The sequence below is a fragment of the Homo sapiens genome, chromosome 6 (assembly GCF_000001405.40).
Source record: "Homo sapiens chromosome 6, GRCh38.p14 Primary Assembly".
In the NCBI taxonomy this organism is placed as follows: Eukaryota; Metazoa; Chordata; class Mammalia; order Primates; family Hominidae; genus Homo; species Homo sapiens.
Genome location: NC_000006.12, coordinates 54,196,180 through 54,214,148, shown reverse-complemented (window position 1 = coordinate 54,214,148; position 17,969 = coordinate 54,196,180). Strand labels below are relative to the sequence as shown.

General features: G+C 36.1%; 1 protein-coding gene across 18 annotated transcripts in view; it reads right to left on the bottom strand.

Moving 5' to 3' along the window:
- MLIP (muscular LMNA interacting protein) overlaps positions 1-17,969 on the bottom strand; it is a 247,311-nt gene that overhangs the window by 52,132 nt on the left and 177,210 nt on the right. For all 18 annotated transcript variants that reach the window (XM_047419509.1, NM_138569.3, XM_024446579.2 and 15 more), the window contains one exon: positions 11,916-12,044. In XM_047419509.1, coding sequence (XP_047275465.1) covers positions 11,916-12,044 — 129 coding nt within the window. The remainder of the gene's footprint in view (positions 1-11,915; positions 12,045-17,969) is intronic.

Genomic DNA, 17,969 nt, shown 5'->3' with positions numbered 1-17,969 from the left:
GCTCTGAGCCTAAGAGTTGTTCCATTTCAAAGAATGGTAGAAAATTATACTAAGCAAATAAGTATAAGTTGCTTGAAAATGTGTTACTTGACTGCTGCCTGTGGATTTGTGACTTACTGTAAAGAGATAGGATTATCTTTATAAAAGCACATAAAAAATAAATGGCTATGCTCTTCTTGATTTCTATGGCAGTCAGGTAGTCAAAGTACCATATCTTTGTTAGGAAAACAGAATAGACCATGGTTTTATTATTTTGGTGTAAAATTTTCAAGTGGAGATACAATGCATACAAACATCAGCTAATTACAACTTTATTGATTCAAAAAGCATGTAGATATCTTTGAATTAAAAAAAAACTTTTTTTTGTTTAATTCTGAACAGATTACGTACATACAAGATATGCTGTTTGTTGTTTTTTTTTTTTTTTTTTTTTTTTTTTTTGAGACAAAGTCTCACTCCATTGCCCAGGCTGTAGTGAAGTGGCAGTGATGCAATCTTGGCTCACTGCAACCTCCACCTCCCGGGTTCAAGCAATTCTCCTGCCTCAGCCTCCCAAGTAGCTGGGATTACAGGCACGTACCACCATGCCTGGCTAATTTTTGTATTTTTAGTAGAGACGGGGTTTCACCATGTTGGCCAGGCTGGTTTGGAACTCCAGACCTCAGGTAATCTGCCTGCCTTGGCCTCCCAAAGTGCTGGGATTACAGGCGTGAGCCACCAAGCCTGGCCTGAGATATGTCTTTATTATAGCATTACAACCTTTTAGTGTTACAAAATCTATACATTTAGACACATTAAATGAAGCATTTATATTGTTCATGCTTAAGGAGTATTATATTTTTAAGTGATCTTACAGTTTTTAATATACTGACCTTTTGTTCTTTTGAATCTATTATTGTCTTAACAAGGGATTTAAGTGAAAAGTTTGATGTTCTACAACTAAATTATTTTCTTATACAGAGTCTTTTTAAGTCTCACATCACTTTCCAGAGAGAGATTTAAAAGGCAAAAGTTATCCCCAAAGTTTATTGCAAGGATTAACCCAGAGTCTTTTATAATTATGAAACACATGAATGAAATATGGTGTCCTTTGCACTTGAAGAAAGCTGAGACAGTAAATCCAGAAACAGGGAAGTGCAAAGACATGTTCACCTTCATTATTAAAAGTATCTTCACTTAAATTTTAGGTTGCCTAGTTAGCCTTCTTATTAAGTATATTTACAGCAGAAATAGTTGACAAATTTACCAATGTGAAAAAGAAATAAAAGGTAACTTAAGTAGCAAATGCCAAGACCCTTTAAAAAACCACTAAATATGTATGTGTGTGTATTTAATCATCTTTTGCATACACAGACATATTTAATTTTGAAAATAAATTATCTCTTAGGGGTTTTAATTTAAGGCAAAGGAAAACAAAATTATAGTCATTCAAAGGGACATAATGACAATAAATCATATTGATGATTTCTCAATACAAACAGGAAGTGAATAGAAACTGACTTTTAAGAAAGGGGAAAAAAAATTCTCAACCCAAAATTGCTCTATCCAAATTGCAGGGGCGGGGGCAAGCCCATGCATGTGCACACACACAGGCGCACACACACAGGCACACATACACCTGCACATCATAGTAAACCCTGTAGAGCTGGGTATTTGTCATGATGTTGACTTAAACAATAAATTAAGACTTTCCATCTCTCCAAACATGTGACCTAAATAATACTTGTTTTCCCCCCTCTTTTTTGAATCATCTAATCATCAAATATCAGGGCTCCAACAGTATTTAAAGACATAAACACAGAATTTCAGGATACAAGGAGACTTTCAATAGTGCATTGTACTCCACTCTCATTGTGCGGGTGAAGACAATAAGATCCAATATCAGGAATGGCTTAATCCAACAATACGGATTTTAAGAGTTATATAAACCATCTGACTCTTTCAAATTTCTCTTTTAGTTGATTGTCTTGGAACCTAATAATTAGGGAAACAAGTAAGAAAGAAGAAATGTCTAGAAATGTGAAAAGCCATAATTTTGCCGATATATCTGGAATCATTGAAAATGTACATTCCTTATCAAACAGAGCTACCATGAGTAGAAGCTACATGGGACAATATTTGGAATATGACGAATTCCAGAGATAGAGTTTTACCTTCTTTTTTTATGTCAAATAGGGAGAAGTTCTTAGTTCTCCCTAAAGAACTAAGAACACAAAAAGAAGGCACCTAATCAATGTTGGTTGAACTGAATTGCCCTTGGCAGGGATAAAGTAATGAGCTTCATTATTCATAGTATTGGAGCAGAGAGTGCCAAGAGATGTTCTAGTCCAGGGTTTCTCAATGCCAGCATTATTGCCATTTGAGGCTGGGTAATTCTTTGTTGTGTGGGAATGTACTGGGCATTGTAGGATTTTTGGCATTATCCCTGGCCGCCACCTACTAAATGCTAGTAGCATCCCACTTTCTCAGTTGTAAAATCATCTCTGGTTGAGAATCACTGATCTGGTGCCATCCCCTCATTTCACTGATGAGATTCAGGTTTCACAAATGCACAGAGTAGAGGTGATTAACCACAATGTCACAGCCAGAATACACACTTCAAAACTGTTTCTGTAAAACCAAGCTGCCCTAGATTTCCTTTGGTTCTATTACACATAAAAATGAATCAAGTCATCAGATCCTGCCTAAATGTAGTTTTTGACATGGGAAGGTTAAACTAGCTTGACTCTACCATGCCCTGCAATGGGCCAGTCTTCAACCGCATGCAATTCATGGAGACCTAAGCTTAAGAGAGAGAAAAACAACTCTATTTTTCTGAACTTAACCCAATGTAATAAACATCATATAAACTTGCTTTCCTTTTGCAGATAAAATATGCTAAACCTCCCAACCTTATTTTTATTGATTTTTATTTTTATTTTTCGGTACAGAGTCTCACTCTGTTGCCCAGGTTGGAGTGCAATGGTGTGATCTTGGCTCACAGTAACCTCAAGCGATTCTCCTGCCTCAGACTCCTGAGTAGCTGGGATTATAGGCACCCGCCACCACGCCCAGCTAATTTTTTGTATTTTTAGTAGAGATGGGGTTTCACCATGTTGGCCAGGCTGGTCTTGAACTCCTGACCTCAGGTAATCCACCCACCTCAGCCTCCCAAAGTGCTGGGATTACAGGCCTGAGCCACTGCACCCAGCCCTCCCAACTTTATTACATAAAAATAATTAGACAAGTCAGCTCCTGGTAAGCTGTTTATTTACTTAACAAAGGTAGTTTTTTATTTTCAAGAGAAAGTAAGGTTAAAAAAAATTAAAGATCTTAAGGCTCATAAGGAAAATTGATATTTGGATGCCTGAGCTACAATAAATTAAATTCCACTTAGGATGCCCTTATTTGAACATTAGAACATTTTTTTTTTTTTTTTCCCTCCGTTGGAGTCTTTATTGTAAATGCACACAGGGGCATCATAGTCAGGGCTAGAGTTTGAAGTCTGGGTGAAACAAATGTTTCTGCAGAGTTCAGAGTCTTGGCTGCCAATATATTTCTAACATGGTGCTGTTGAATTAACTATTTCAAAGTGACTCAAGGGGAAGCTGGTATTTCCCTCGAATCTGAGTTTTAATAGCATTAACAAACAAGGAAGAATTTTATAGGAGTCCTAAAATTATGGGCTCTTTCTAACATTTATTTGAGTCTTTTATCAAGTTCTTCTAATGAATTTTAGGATTATTTTGGCTTATTTCATCAAGGAAGTTTGGTGTAAGAACTTGTTACCTAATGAGTGCCCCTCCTTGTAAGTTCATATTTCAAGTTACATGGTTCATGCCATAAATAAACCACACTTGCTTTAACATCGTTCAGAATGGTACATTTAACAATTGGACATACAGCACTGTAAACAATTCAAAGTCCATTGAGCTTACCATGAAAGAACTGAAACGTATGTAGGAACTGTGTCCTGCTGCAGACAAGCAGCTGCTCTGGCTCTGGTGCGGTGCGGTGCGGTGCGGTGCGGTGAGGTGAGGTGGGCAGGTGTGGAAGGGAGAATTCCTGAGGCCAGTCACAATTATTGAAGCTAAATTAATTTCTTCCTGACACTTTAGCATTAATTCTAAGTAGTTCTAAGTTCTAAACCATTAACTGTATAGTTAATTTTTTTAAATCAAAGAAGAAAAAGGCTTTCACACAGATGAATGTATAGGAAAACACAAGTAATGACAATTTTCAAGAGCCTTATTGTAAAAAAAAAAAAAGAAAGAAAAAAGGACAATTATTTTTGGAGTTACTGTCTCTAATTCTTAAAAAGTAAGTACAGTGTCTGTATCTCTAAGTTTTAGTGCTATACAGCACTAAATGTACTTTATGAATTTGGGGTAGGTAAAGTTTGTATTTTATCTTAAACATGTTTTCTATGATGAAAAGGAACAAAATTGTAAAAAATGAGGATCTTCCCTCTAAAGGTTTCAAAGCGTTAGAGGACATGCTGCCCTTCCTACAAACTCAAGAGGCTCATTGTTCAAGGTGTAAGAACATTATTTTTAAAAACTCTAAAACCTACCGGTAATCCCATCCCTAAAGAAACACCAACTTTGAACTTACAAACTTAGTATAGGTCTCCCTTTCCATGAAGTCTTTGAAATAGACAAAAATACAATTCTTTTTTCAAAAAAATTGGGGTTTTCTTTCTATACATTTATTTTAAATGATTTGCATCACTAGCTTGATTCTGTTCTCCATAGGCTGAACTTCACAAGCTGTCCTTTGTTTTATTTTAGTGGAATTCAAAACACAGTTTGATTACCAGCTTTAGCTCTTTGCTTCTCTTATGCCTTCTCTTGGTTGCTCTTCTCATTAGGATTTATTGTTTTTCCTGCCTAAATTGCTTTTTTTAAGATATTTTATCTTGGGTCACAGAAAGGAAGAGAAGGTTCCCAATTATCTTCATGTAACTCATCTTCAAACTTGTACATCTTGTCATATTTTAGGTTTGTCCTCATTCAAAATCTGTCTATAACACACATTTTAAAATATATGCCAATATCGCCAAGGTTGAGAGATTGTAAAATGTTTTTAAACACATTAAACTTAGCATTCATATTCAAAGAATACCCCCAATTTTCATTATGTTCTCCTGTATGCATTCTACCTTGATCTCACGTCTCATGAGCCAAAACAAATGTACAGTACAGAAAAGAAAATCACAAGCCAATATCTTTGATTGCATTTCCTAAGCATACTTATTAACAGCTATCACACAAAACATTTTAAGGCAGTTGTAGAATTGAAACTGTGTAGGGAGGGAGGGAGGCAGTGTATTTGGAGAGGAGCACTAGTTTCATCAAAAATATCTTACGTATTATAAGACAATTTGGTACATAAACTGGCAAATAAAAATGCCTTTAAGATTCTCACCCACATGCCAAAGGTATGTGATTGTTACCATCTGTGGTTCTATACACAGGCTAATCTTGTCTCAAAATTTGAGGATAAGGTTTGAGATAGAGACTCTTGTGAAATAAAACATATGAATGCATCTTTTTTTCCTTACAAACAAAAAAATTTTTTTAAGAGATGGAGGTCTTGTTTTGTTGCTCAGGCTGAAGTGAAATGGCACAATTATAGATCACTGCCACCTCGAATTCTTGGGCTCAAGCTATCCTCCCGCCTCAGCCTCCTGAGTAGCTGAGACTACAAATGCATGCCACCACACCTGGCTGATTTTTAAATTTTTTGTAGAGATGTGGTCTCCCTATGTTTCTCAGGCTGGTCTCAGACTCCTGGGCTCAAGCAATCCTTCTACCTCAGCCTCCCAAAGAGCTGGGATTACAGGCGTGAGCCACTGCACGCAGCCAACAAACAAAATTTTTGAACTTTCTAATCTCAGAATAACATTTATTTTGGATATTATTTAAAATTATTTTTACATAGATATCCTCTCTCTCTTTTGAAATGTTGTTGTTTAATACCTTACAGATAAAACCAATAAAGAATTAAAACATTCTATTTTAACAAAGACCTATTTTTTTTGAGATGGAGTCTCGCTCTGTTGCCCAGCCTGGAGTGCAGTGGCACGATCTCAGCTCACTGCAAGCTCCTCCTACTGGGTTCACGCCATTCTCCCGCCTCAGCCTCCCGAGTAGCTGGGACCACAGGCACCCGCCACCACACCCTGCTGATTTTTTGTAATTTTTTTAGTAGAGACGGGGTTTCACCGTGTTAGCCAGGATGGTCTTCATCTCCTGACCTCGTGATCCGCCCACCTCGGCCTCCCAAAGTGCTGGGATTACAAAGACCTATTTTTAAACTGGAGTGTACTTTGTATGAGAGGTTCTAAATATGGCAGTGGCCAATCTCCCTTGAATAAATATACATACAAACATCATGTGTTAACAAAACATAGAACACATTTGCGTAAAACTTTCAAAAGGTCATTGTTTCCTAGTAAATTGGGATATTAACAGACACTACATATCCACCAACTATTTGTTAAGCAAATAATGCTTCAGACCATTATGATAGAGTGGCAAATAAGTCTTCTTTGGGTGTTTGCTGTTTTAAAAGCAAATAAAAATCTCTTTAAGATTTTTACTCCTACATAAGGCAGCTGAAGAGGGGCATGGAAAAGAAATTCCTGTTAACAACTGACAATTGCCAACAGAATAATCTAAAGCATAGGTTACAATTTTCCAAACTTGATGCACACATAAAATCAAGAGAAAAGAAATGTCAAAAAAGGGGGGGGGGGTGCAGAGGTGATGGAAATTCTGTGTATGAAGAAGTGAGCCTATCTAACTATATTTTGGAGGAAAAGGCAAATATTGTCTCAAAAAGACAATTTTTAAAAAAGATATATACTAAGAAACTAGTTTATCGTGCTGATGATAATTTGTCTATTATGTATAGAACATAACCTGTTTATGCTAAATTGTCTATTACATCTTTCATATAAAGGAAGGAAGCAAAGCAAAATAGAGAAAACTCATAAGGACTTCAGTCCTTAAATTAAAAAAAAAAAACATGGCAAAACTTAGAGAAGCCAAATCTCTGTTCGTAAACCTTCCCAAAGAAATGTAACACTACAAGAAATTGCAGCTTTCCTCTCGTTAAAACAATCTAGCAAACCACTAATTCATTTCTACACCTAAAAAGGTTCATTTAAACATTTACCCCAAAATATTTCTCAATAAAATGTTAGCAATTATAAAAGATGATTTTATGACAGAAGAATATGGGCCATCTTGATTGAGAAACAAATGTTGAAAAAGTGGTAGTTTGTGACAAAGCCAGAGTTTTTCAGAGAGAGTAAAAGGCAGTATTGTCAGTTTCACCTACGACAAAGGTATTTATCCTGTAATATTAACATGTGGGTGACATAAAGAAGGGAAGTTGAAGGTCACAGTTGAAATACAACTTGATGAATCATTAGATAGAAACCTGAAAGTCACTGACATAATCATCAAAGTTGAATGTCAAGCATAGTCATTTTGGTAGGGAAAAGAGGCAAGTCAGATGTCTAAAAAAAACTCAGAAGAAAAGCGGGAATGAAATACTATAACAAGGAAAAGTCTCTATAATTACCCTTTTATGTTCTCTGTGAGGTAGCACAGAGGAAATTCTCTAAATGGTCATCTTCATAGAAAATATGTTCTCTCTCCCATTTAAACAGAGTAGAAGAAAAATAAATTTTAAGAGGCATACATGCTGGAAAGTGTTATTTCTCACAAACGGAAAAAAAAAAGAAAAATATTTCTTGGAAAATCAGATGAAACAATATTCTCCCTTTAATTCTATCCAAAACCTTTTTTCACACATTTCCTTAGGGCTTTAAGAAAGTATCAATATATCTAATACTATGAGTTGCATTATTAATTTATAAAGAGAGGATTTTTACATAACACTTTATGTAAATGAGGTGAATTATTGCCCTTTTATATTAAACCAAAAATCTTCAATGAAATCCTCTTTATCTAATTACACATATTAAATGATCAGAAAACAAGCAATATATTTTGCAAATTCATAAATAGTCAGAATAAACTAAATACCATTCAGCTCTTTAGCATCTTCATTCTCATCAGCAAATTGCTTTTCTGAGCCTGTATGTCTTCTGGATGCCCATTAGTCCAATGAATTTTGCTAATTATTTTCCAGCTCTACTTTTAGTTATCAATAAAAATATGCTTTAAACACACCACCACAGTTTTTAAATCCATAGATTTATGGCAAAGTGTGAGGACATTTTGTAATAACTGAAAAGCACCACAAATTGGCACAATAATAAATTAACTGAATAACGAGTGAAGATTAATTATTAATTAATAATGAACGAAGACAATTTCAGAAAAGCATAATCTTCATTTTGAAGGTTTCGTTTTTTTAAAAAAAAATCTAATATACAATGATGCTTCCTGGCCTATGCCACTTTGATGTAAAAGTTGTTGGCTAGTAAATTTCGATGACTTGATTATGCATTTGGTTTCAAACTTGGCTGTTAGAACTCAGCAGCTGTTTCCAGGCAAATTTTCAGCTCATAATCAGGTCAAAAGGCTGCCCAGCTGCACCTTTTTGAACTACAGTAAATACATTTCTGTCAGGTCTCATTATCATCTTTAGTGTCTGACATTTTGTAACAGAATTTTGAAATCATATCTAATGGCAGTGAAGCTGCTAGGAAAAATTTATTGACTTAACAATCCCATCCAACATCTCCTGTCATGTGGAACTGTCCCCAGTACAAGGCAGATTAGTGACTGTGAGCTACTTCCATTTGGCCCAACTGTCTGGCTAAAGAATTTTCCATTACATGGGTGGATGAGATCAGCTGAGTTTGGAACCATTCAATTTATTCTGTGGCAGCAGTGTAAGAGAAGACAATAGTGACTAGAAATGAATTTGAGTACACTTTCTTCTATTGAGGTTCTGATGAAGTAGCAATGCTGAGATTATACATTTTATTATTCAAGTTATTTTTTAAGCAGACGTAAGCATCTACCCTTGAGAGCTGTTTTGGTATCTCTCCATTGTAGATTCTGGACACAATGAGATGATAGTTAAAGCTCAACATAAAAAGGCCAGTTGACAGTACATGCCGTTTCCCAGGTGTTCAGTGGTCCCAAGGTTCTATCTTATCTTTCCCTTTCATGCCAGGTCAATGAATAAGGCCAGGGGACCTTTGGAATTCACTTTTAAGTGGTATGCTAGGCTTCTTTCAATTCTGACAGTGCATTGTCTGCTATTACTTCTCATGTTCCACATTCAAATGGGGATACAAATGAGGATAAATTGGTTGAAAGAAAATATAGATAAGATTAGGTCTGTGGTAACTTAAGATTTGCAAAATAGGTCAAATTTTCAGCCAAGTATTTAGAAATAAATAGATTTATGTTGTAATGTAAAAAGAGCTTTAAACTTACTTTATAGTCAGAAAAAGCAACGAAAAGAAATGGCAATTATTTTTAATGACAAGAATTTTCTGCACTTGAAAATGGAATTTATCATTTCAGTAGACAGTACATGTCGTAAATTACAGGTAGATTAACTCAATACTCTACAAGGAGTCTTGCTTGAAGTAAAATGCATGAATTTAAAATTATACTCACACAGAAGAATAAAGTTATTATCTTCCAGCATTGGATCATATTTTGAACAATGTAGGTTCCATGGATAATATGTGAAATTTAACTGTTAGTGGTTTGATTTTCATATAACTGCTAAATTATTTTTATAAACATTTTATAATTATCCCATACTGTCTAAAACTTCATACTAAAAGCCACTAAAATATTAGTGTCATACAAGCAATAGATATTTCATAAGTGCTTTTGTTAATGATAAAAAAATGTTTTCCCCACAGGAGTTTCCATTTCTGTTATGTATGGAATTAGTGAAGGCAACCTTATATATCAACAAAATTTCCCTATTTAATTTAATTTGAGGTCTATAATTTTATTCCAGAAAATTAAAATAATTGCCTCTAATTATCATTTTTGATCATATCAATGCCTTCTAAAAAAATCAGACTTATAAATCATAGCCTTCTCAGAAAGTGTATATAAATCAATGGAAAATATTTTCATCTGAATTTTGTAAATAAAAACTAGAACTAATCATAAAAAGTATTTGTAATGAACTTTTTCAAGGTTACATAGGGATTTCAGACCCAGTTATGGTTAATCATAGATTTTAAGTAATGCAAATTTTAGTGTTTAAAGGATCCTTAAAAGGTACCTAATCTGAACACCTCATTTTGTGCATTAAGAAACTGAAGCCAGCCGGGCGCGGTGGCTCACGGCTGTAATCCCAGCACTTTGGGAGGCGGAGGCCGGCAGATCGCCTGAGGTCACGAGTTTGAGACCAGCCTGGCCGGCATGGTGAAACCCTGTCTCTACTAAAATTACAAAAATTAGCCGGGAGTGGTGGCAGGCGCCTGTAATCCCAGCTACTCAGGAAGCTGAGGCAGGAGAATCGCTTGAACCCAAGAGGCGGAGGTTGCAGTGAGCCGAGATGGCGCCATTGAGCTCCAGCCTAGACAACAGAGCGAAACTCCATCTCAAAAAAAAAAAGAAAGGAAGAAAGAAAGAAACTGAAGCCTAGAGAGATAACACCACTTGCCCATGGTCACAGAGCTAACACATCAGATAAGAGATTCTTTATGTTTTATAAATATAAATATAAATGTAATTATAATTTATATTTTCAAGAATATTGTTAGTTATTATTTTCAAACTAAAATTTTAAAAAGAGCATAACACCTTATATTCCTAAATCTATTTTATTATGGATTATAAAATATGATGATCTTACATGTCCTGACTGTATTCAGAAAGTTTTCTGAATATCTTACATTGCTTATTAATTTCATATTTCAATCTCTCAATAAAATATATAGCCCATACTCTTTGCTGCATTTTAATATGACAAAGATTTAAAATCTCTGCTATTCATTATGAAGTTTTATATTGCATAAATGTGTATTTTCATATTTTTCACAAATATAAAGCACCATTGACAATTCTCCATTATACCTCCTTCAACATATATAAGGAGAATCTAGTATAGACTTTTCAAACATAAACAAAATGAACAACAAATCCTAAATATGACTTGATCCCCGATTCTGTTACTATTACTTCCCAATCTGGGAGACTGCATCGTCTCTGTTAATATGAATCTAAACAGGACTTTTGTCAACTTCAGTATACCAAATCTAAAATATTCCATCTCTTCAAAAGGAGGCAAGATTTTATTTTATTTTTTGAGACAGGGTCTTGCTCTGTCACCCAGGCTGGAGTGCAGTGGCATGATTACTTGCTCACTGGAGCCTCAACCGCCTGGGCTTCAACAATTCTCCCACTTCAGCCTGCCAAGTAGCTGGGACCACAGGCACACGCCACCATACCCAGCTATATATTTTTTTTAATTTGTTGTAGAGATGGGGTTTTACCATGTTGCCCAGGCTTGTCTCAAACTCCTGGGGTCAAGCAATACTCCTGCCTTGGCTTCCCAAAGTGCTGGGATTATAGACATGAGCCACTGTATCCAGCTGGAAGCAGGATTTTAGAAATAAGAATGCAACACCTATATGACCCATCCAATCAGTGATTTTGTGATGTCTTTATAGAGAGCAACATCTTGGTCTCCAAAACAATACCAGCACTAGATAGACAAGTTTTAGAAAAAAAAAAAAACACATTAAAATGCTTCAAAATATTATTCTTGAATTATTTAGCAACTTCTATTTATTATGCAAGCATTTTTCATTACCAAATATATTCCAATCAAATGAACATGTTCTTACGCATACTATATTCATAGAGACATCTTTATTTTATATTTATCAAAATATATTTATATATTTATATATATTTTATATATATTTATATTTATCAAAATAGCAAACATTTTCTCTTGTATGTGCTCACCTGTTCAGAAAAGAGGTCGCTGTTATCTTCCAAGTATTTACTGAAAGGGTTGGGTTCATAGACTTCCTCCTCTTTTTTCAGTAATATTCTGGATTTTACAGGTACTGGGCGAATTACTCCAGGCTTAGTCTTCATGAATGTAAAATAAATATTTTAAAAACAGGAAAAAAACACTATTAAAATGAACAAATATGTTTATTGTTAAGTCATTCAATGCTGTTCTCACAGAAAATTATATTTTTTTAATTTTAAAATGATTTCAAAAATGCATAAAAACAGCCTGAAGTCAAATGATTTTAACTAATATAAGTTTAGTTAAAATTTAACTATAACAGCAATCAGTTCATAAAGCTCTACTATTGTAACATTCAAAATGCAAACATGTTCTACCCTTGCTGGTGCATTTGGTCAACACATATTTCATTTGCTAAGTATTTATTGAGAGTCTTCTCTGTGTCAGGCAGCATTCTGGGCATGATAGCATAGATGACTTTGGTATATCCACCAAGCCCATGACAACTTTCTTTTTCTGGAAACTGCTCACCCTCCATGCCCCAAAATCTACAAAGCTGGGCCCCCAGATGCCATGTTCATATTATGAACTGAGGTGGCTTTCTGACCTAAAAGAGTGGAGGGTGGGTGGCAAATAGATTGTCTCTCCCAATAACGTGGAACAGGGATTTAAACTGTTGTGCAGTAACTGTGGGAGACTGAAATTAAAGTATGTCATGTAGAAGCTACAGGAAAGCCTTAACATGACCTAAAAAGCAGATATGCTGAGATCAAGAAGGTTAGAGCAAAGTGCATGGAGGGGCAGCCCAGAAAGGAGAGACACCAGAGGGCTTTCCAGAATTGACTCCCCAAACATTCCAGGGGCCTACATGAATTTCCTTTCCTGACGTTCTTTCCTTTTCTTTTACACCAGATTCCCTCACACACACACCTTTTTATTTAACTCAACTTTACTTTTGTCACTTGCAATCCAAAGAATTTTAGCTAATACATCAGTCACTCGAGATTCTTAAGCTTGTACCCAGTGTCGATTTGACAAAGAGAGGCAGGAGAACTCTAGTTTGGGGTAATTTCAAAATGTGATGTTTCACAAACACCAAAATCTTGTTACCCCGTAAAATGTCACAGAAAGATTGACGTTTGCAAAAACATCCCAAACAATAATTTAATAAAAAGCTGTGATGCTCTTTCTGTTTAAGCACTTTTGCTGCAATCATTCTTCTCAACCCCATTTCCTTTTGGAAAATGGTAAATTAGCTCTTTTCAGTCAATGCTGATGCTCACAAGTTAAGCCTTAAGGGACTACATCTATCTCTCTGCTCTATAAAGCACCTGATATATTTTGAGTCTTGAATAAATGTCACTCTGCAATACTTTCTTCAACAGATATTTGGTCTTTCATGTATATGACAACTGGGAAAATACAGATTGAGACAAGTCTCTATCTTCCCCAAACTGAGAAATATCTCCCACTTAAGAAACTCTGATTTTTCTCAAGGGGAAAAATGAATAAGTAACATCCAATTGTGCATGAAGTCATGCCATAGAGTATACACATGAGAACAATATTCCTCCATTAAGTGCTGCCAAAAAAAAAAAAAAAAAAAAAAAAAACGTCCAGGCAGTTCCTGATTTCTATAGCCACCTGTAATTATGGAGATGCCTGATATCTGGGCCATGATCCTAAGTTGTCCACACCTCTGTCTCTTTTTTTCATTTGACTTCCTGCTTCATTTCTTCTTTCTTCTTCTCCTATTCCTGCACTTCCTGCACTTTCTCCTTCTCTTCTACTCCCTTGTGAGGCAGAAAATAAATGCAACTCCAGGACTCGGGCTACAAGGCTGTAAAACCAACATGGTACTTTAGGGGCTAAGCTTGGTGTCACTATGCAGAAAGATGAAAGCAGGGAGAAGAAATCTAATCAGGAGCACTTTGGATGGTAGGATAACCTCTGCCAGAGAAATATGACTGCCTGGGTCCCTTTATCGCAAGCAGGCAGATGTTTGGGGTTATTCTGGCCTAGGGCATTCCACTCAGATCATCTGTCTTGGGATCAGTCCTTTCCAGGGTGACATCAGAAGAGAGACTCTTCTGGTTGGTTGGATATCAGATACATTCAGTATCAGAGTCTGTTACTGATGCTTCATATTTGCTTCTCTACCAGTTTTCATGCTCTTTAGTTCTTATGAGTTTCCTGGATTTGATGGTTGTCTCTGACAATTAGACAATGATTTTTGCTCCATTTCCTCCACTCTACCAGATTTTCCACGTTCTTTTCTTGGACTTTGTGTTCCCAGGTTTGGGCTATATGAAGTCTCTGAGTCTTCCTCATTCTATTTACTTACTTGGTCTTCATATGGTTTCCCTGATTTTTACATTGTATATGTTCCCTTTTTCTTTAGTCCTGTTCTTTGCTCCAACAACCTTAATTTGTTGTTACCCAGTAGTCAATACTTCATAGATATGGAAGCCAACTCTAGGCAAAAGACGACTACACATAGTTTGCCTTTGACATTGTTCATACTTCTCATCCTATAATCTTTAACCATACCTTTCAAACCCAACCATCTCTCACTATTGGTCCAGTTAAAAATCTAACCCTAGTGTCCCAATTCTGAACCTCATGCACCCTCCACAAACCTTGGTATACTAACAAGTCATCTGCATGGTAGCCTCTGCACCTTCCTCATGCCTTTTCATGTGCTTCAAAACCGGCTTCAAAATCCTTGAGGACCCATTGCAGCTAATAACATTGTCATTGTCTCATAGACACAGATTCTATATTCTATCAATATAGAATCAAAAACTGAACTCAATATTTTAGATAGATCATCTCATCAATTTCTTGTAAATTCTTTGGGAGTTTTAAAGGTAATAAGTCACATGCCAAAGTCATGCAGTTAATATGTTAAGGTTTAAATCCATGTTTGGTGTGATCATCATGCCTGTGATTTTTATCACTTCTATGCCGATTCCAGGGAGGAAGAGAGACATCATAGAATAGATAGAAGTTTGAAATCTTTGTTAAATATCCACCTCTCTGTAACTTATCCTGTCTAATCAAAAACAAAGCTCCTGTAGTTTTTATATGTTTTATTCCTTTAAAATTTATTGTTTCTCTGTTTTATTTCCACTGTCAACTGTCTCATCCTTGATTTTGGCCATTGCTAACTCATTCTATGCCATTTTACTTTCTTTTCATTAGCCATCCTAAATATTCTCAGAACATTTAGGACCTAATGTTATCTAATGTTTTCAGTTCCTGGTGACTGTACACATCCACACATCCACTCTCTTCACACACACACAAACACACACACACATATACACACACACACACACAGACACACACACCTCTTCACCACCTCCTAAAATACTCCATAATTTGCATGGCCAAGACATCAAATTCCCACTGTGTCTCTGGATTTGGTTAAAAATTTACTCTCATGAAGTAGCATAATATTGTAGAAGGAGAGAAACATGGACATAGATTTTAGTTTTTGCAATGTTGTTAATAAACTGTATTACCTTGGAAAAGCCATTCAACCTGTGTAGACCTTCTGTTGAAGGGTTGTAATTCTAATACATGACTATGTCCTTTAATAATGGGTAATGACACACTTTATTACTTACCTTTCCGACCCCTCAGGAATTATACCACACAGAGTTACAGCAAAGGGCTTGTTTCTGCATATTCAAACCCATCACCCAAACAAGGGTCTCAAAGTGCCACTTAGAAAGTCTATAAAACAGCATATGTGAAGCAACTGGCACTGTTGCCATCACACATAAGTCTCTCTTGGAATATTAGTTAACTTCCCCTCAATTCTTCCTCATACCTTGTTTCACAATGTCAAATGGTGATGCAATCTACATTTGCAACAGAAAGTTAACTAATGTTCTATCCAATTAAGACATTGTCTGCTAGCACTTTGACCCTTAGAATGAAGGCTGTAGACCAGTATCAGCATCACCTGAGAACCTGTTATGAGTGCCAAAGCTCAGTGCCCGACCTAAGCCTACTGAATCCGAATCTGCATTTTTACAAATCCCTAAGCGATTCATGTACACATTAAAAGTTGAAAGACACTAGACTTGAACTCAATACATTAAAATGTGCTGCTCATGTAGAGATAGATCTTTCTAAGTCTATCATTCCAGAGACACCCATTTGGCCTTGTCTTCTGTCTCCAGACTGAAGGAGAGGCTTTAAAACAGACTATGCTTTATTAATTCCTCATCTACATTGCAACTTTGTGTGTAGTGATCTTTGCTGATACCTTTGGACTTCAAGTAAAGGTTCTCTTGAACAACTTCTCTAATTCTGAACAATTTAATTTGTTACATCTGTGTCCAAACAAACACAGAGGAAATTAGATCTATCAAGTTAGGGGAGTCTATAAAACTGAACTACTGTAAGATTGTCATTGTTCAGCAATATTACAACTAAACTAGCCTTAAGAGGCCCTTCTTTCATTTTTATCTACTATAGAATCCATAGAATAGTCAGACTCATGATTGATAGGTGCAAATGGCCGTCTAATGATGCCAGAAAAAGCAGTTTTGTAATTTTCTTTCCAGCCTATGTGGAAAAATAAAAAATGTAATGACTCTCATAGCCAGCACAAAGGGCACAAGAAAAAAAATGAGAAGATTCTCCAAATCGAAAATATCAATTCATGAATGTACTGAGAACTGATTTACACTGGGTATAGACATTTTTGAAGTGCCTGAAAGACAAATAGCTGTTTTGCAACTCTGAAACACACCTCTACCAGATGTTCACTGGAGACATTTTGCCAGTTAAGATCTAGTCTGTGTCAGGAACTATAGTGTCTATAGAGATAAAAAAAAGACATACCCCCTGTTTTCAGAGGGTTCACAATCCTGTTGAATAAATCATAAGATAACCACAGTATAAGTCGAGTCATGTCACTCATCTCCTAAATGATGTCCGTCAGTTCTACATCAAGTCATGTCAACTCTCCTCTGAAAGCTCTCTAATGCCTCACCTTTTTACTGAGAGTAAAGTTCAAAGCCCTGGTAGTGCCTACAAAGCAATGCCTACAAGGGTGCTGTATGACCTGATCTTTCATATCCCTAACCAGCCTCTCTTTTTCCAATCTTATTTCCTAGTACTCTCCCTTCCACCCCTTCACTGTTTCTACTCTAGCTTACACATTATATGATACTGCCTCCTCTAGGAGTTTGTATTTGCTCTTCCCTTGTCTGGAACTCCCTTATTCCTTCTTTTTCAGTTTTTCAAATGTCCGTTTAAACATCACCTTATCAGACAGATCTTTTTAATGAGCCATATAAAATAGCAATCTCCACCTCTCTTACCTGCTTTATTTTCTCCACAGCAGTTACCACTACCTGACATCTGTTTGTGTTTATTGTCTTTCTTTCTCAACTAGAATGTAAGTTCTGTGAAACCAGAGATCTTCGGTTTATTCACTCTTGTATCTCCAACATCTAGAATGGTGCCTGTACCTGGTTGGTGCTCAATAAATACTTGCAGAATGAATAAGTTAATTGACAGACAGAAGCTCAGTGTGCTGACTATAATTCAATATGGAGTCTATAAGAGGTACTGATTCAATGCAAAGACATGGAATCAACCCAAGTGCCCATCAATGATAGACCAGATAAAGAAAATGTGGTACATATACACCATGGAATACTATGAAGCCATAAAAAGGAATGAGATCATGTCATTTGCAGGGACATGAATGGAGCTGGAAGCCATTATCCTCATCAAACTAATGCAGGAACAGAAAACCCAACACTGCATGTTCTCACTATAAGTGGGGGCCGAACAAAGAGAACTCATGAACACATGTTAGGGAACAACACACAGAGGCCTGTTGTGGGCGAGGAGGGAAAGCATTAGGAAAATATGCTAATTCATGCTGGGCTTAATACAGAAGTGATGGTTTGATAGGTGCAGCAAATCACCATGGCACATTTTTACCTATGTAACAAACCTGCACGTCATGCACATGTACCCTGGAACTTAAAATAACTTCTTTTTTTTAAAAA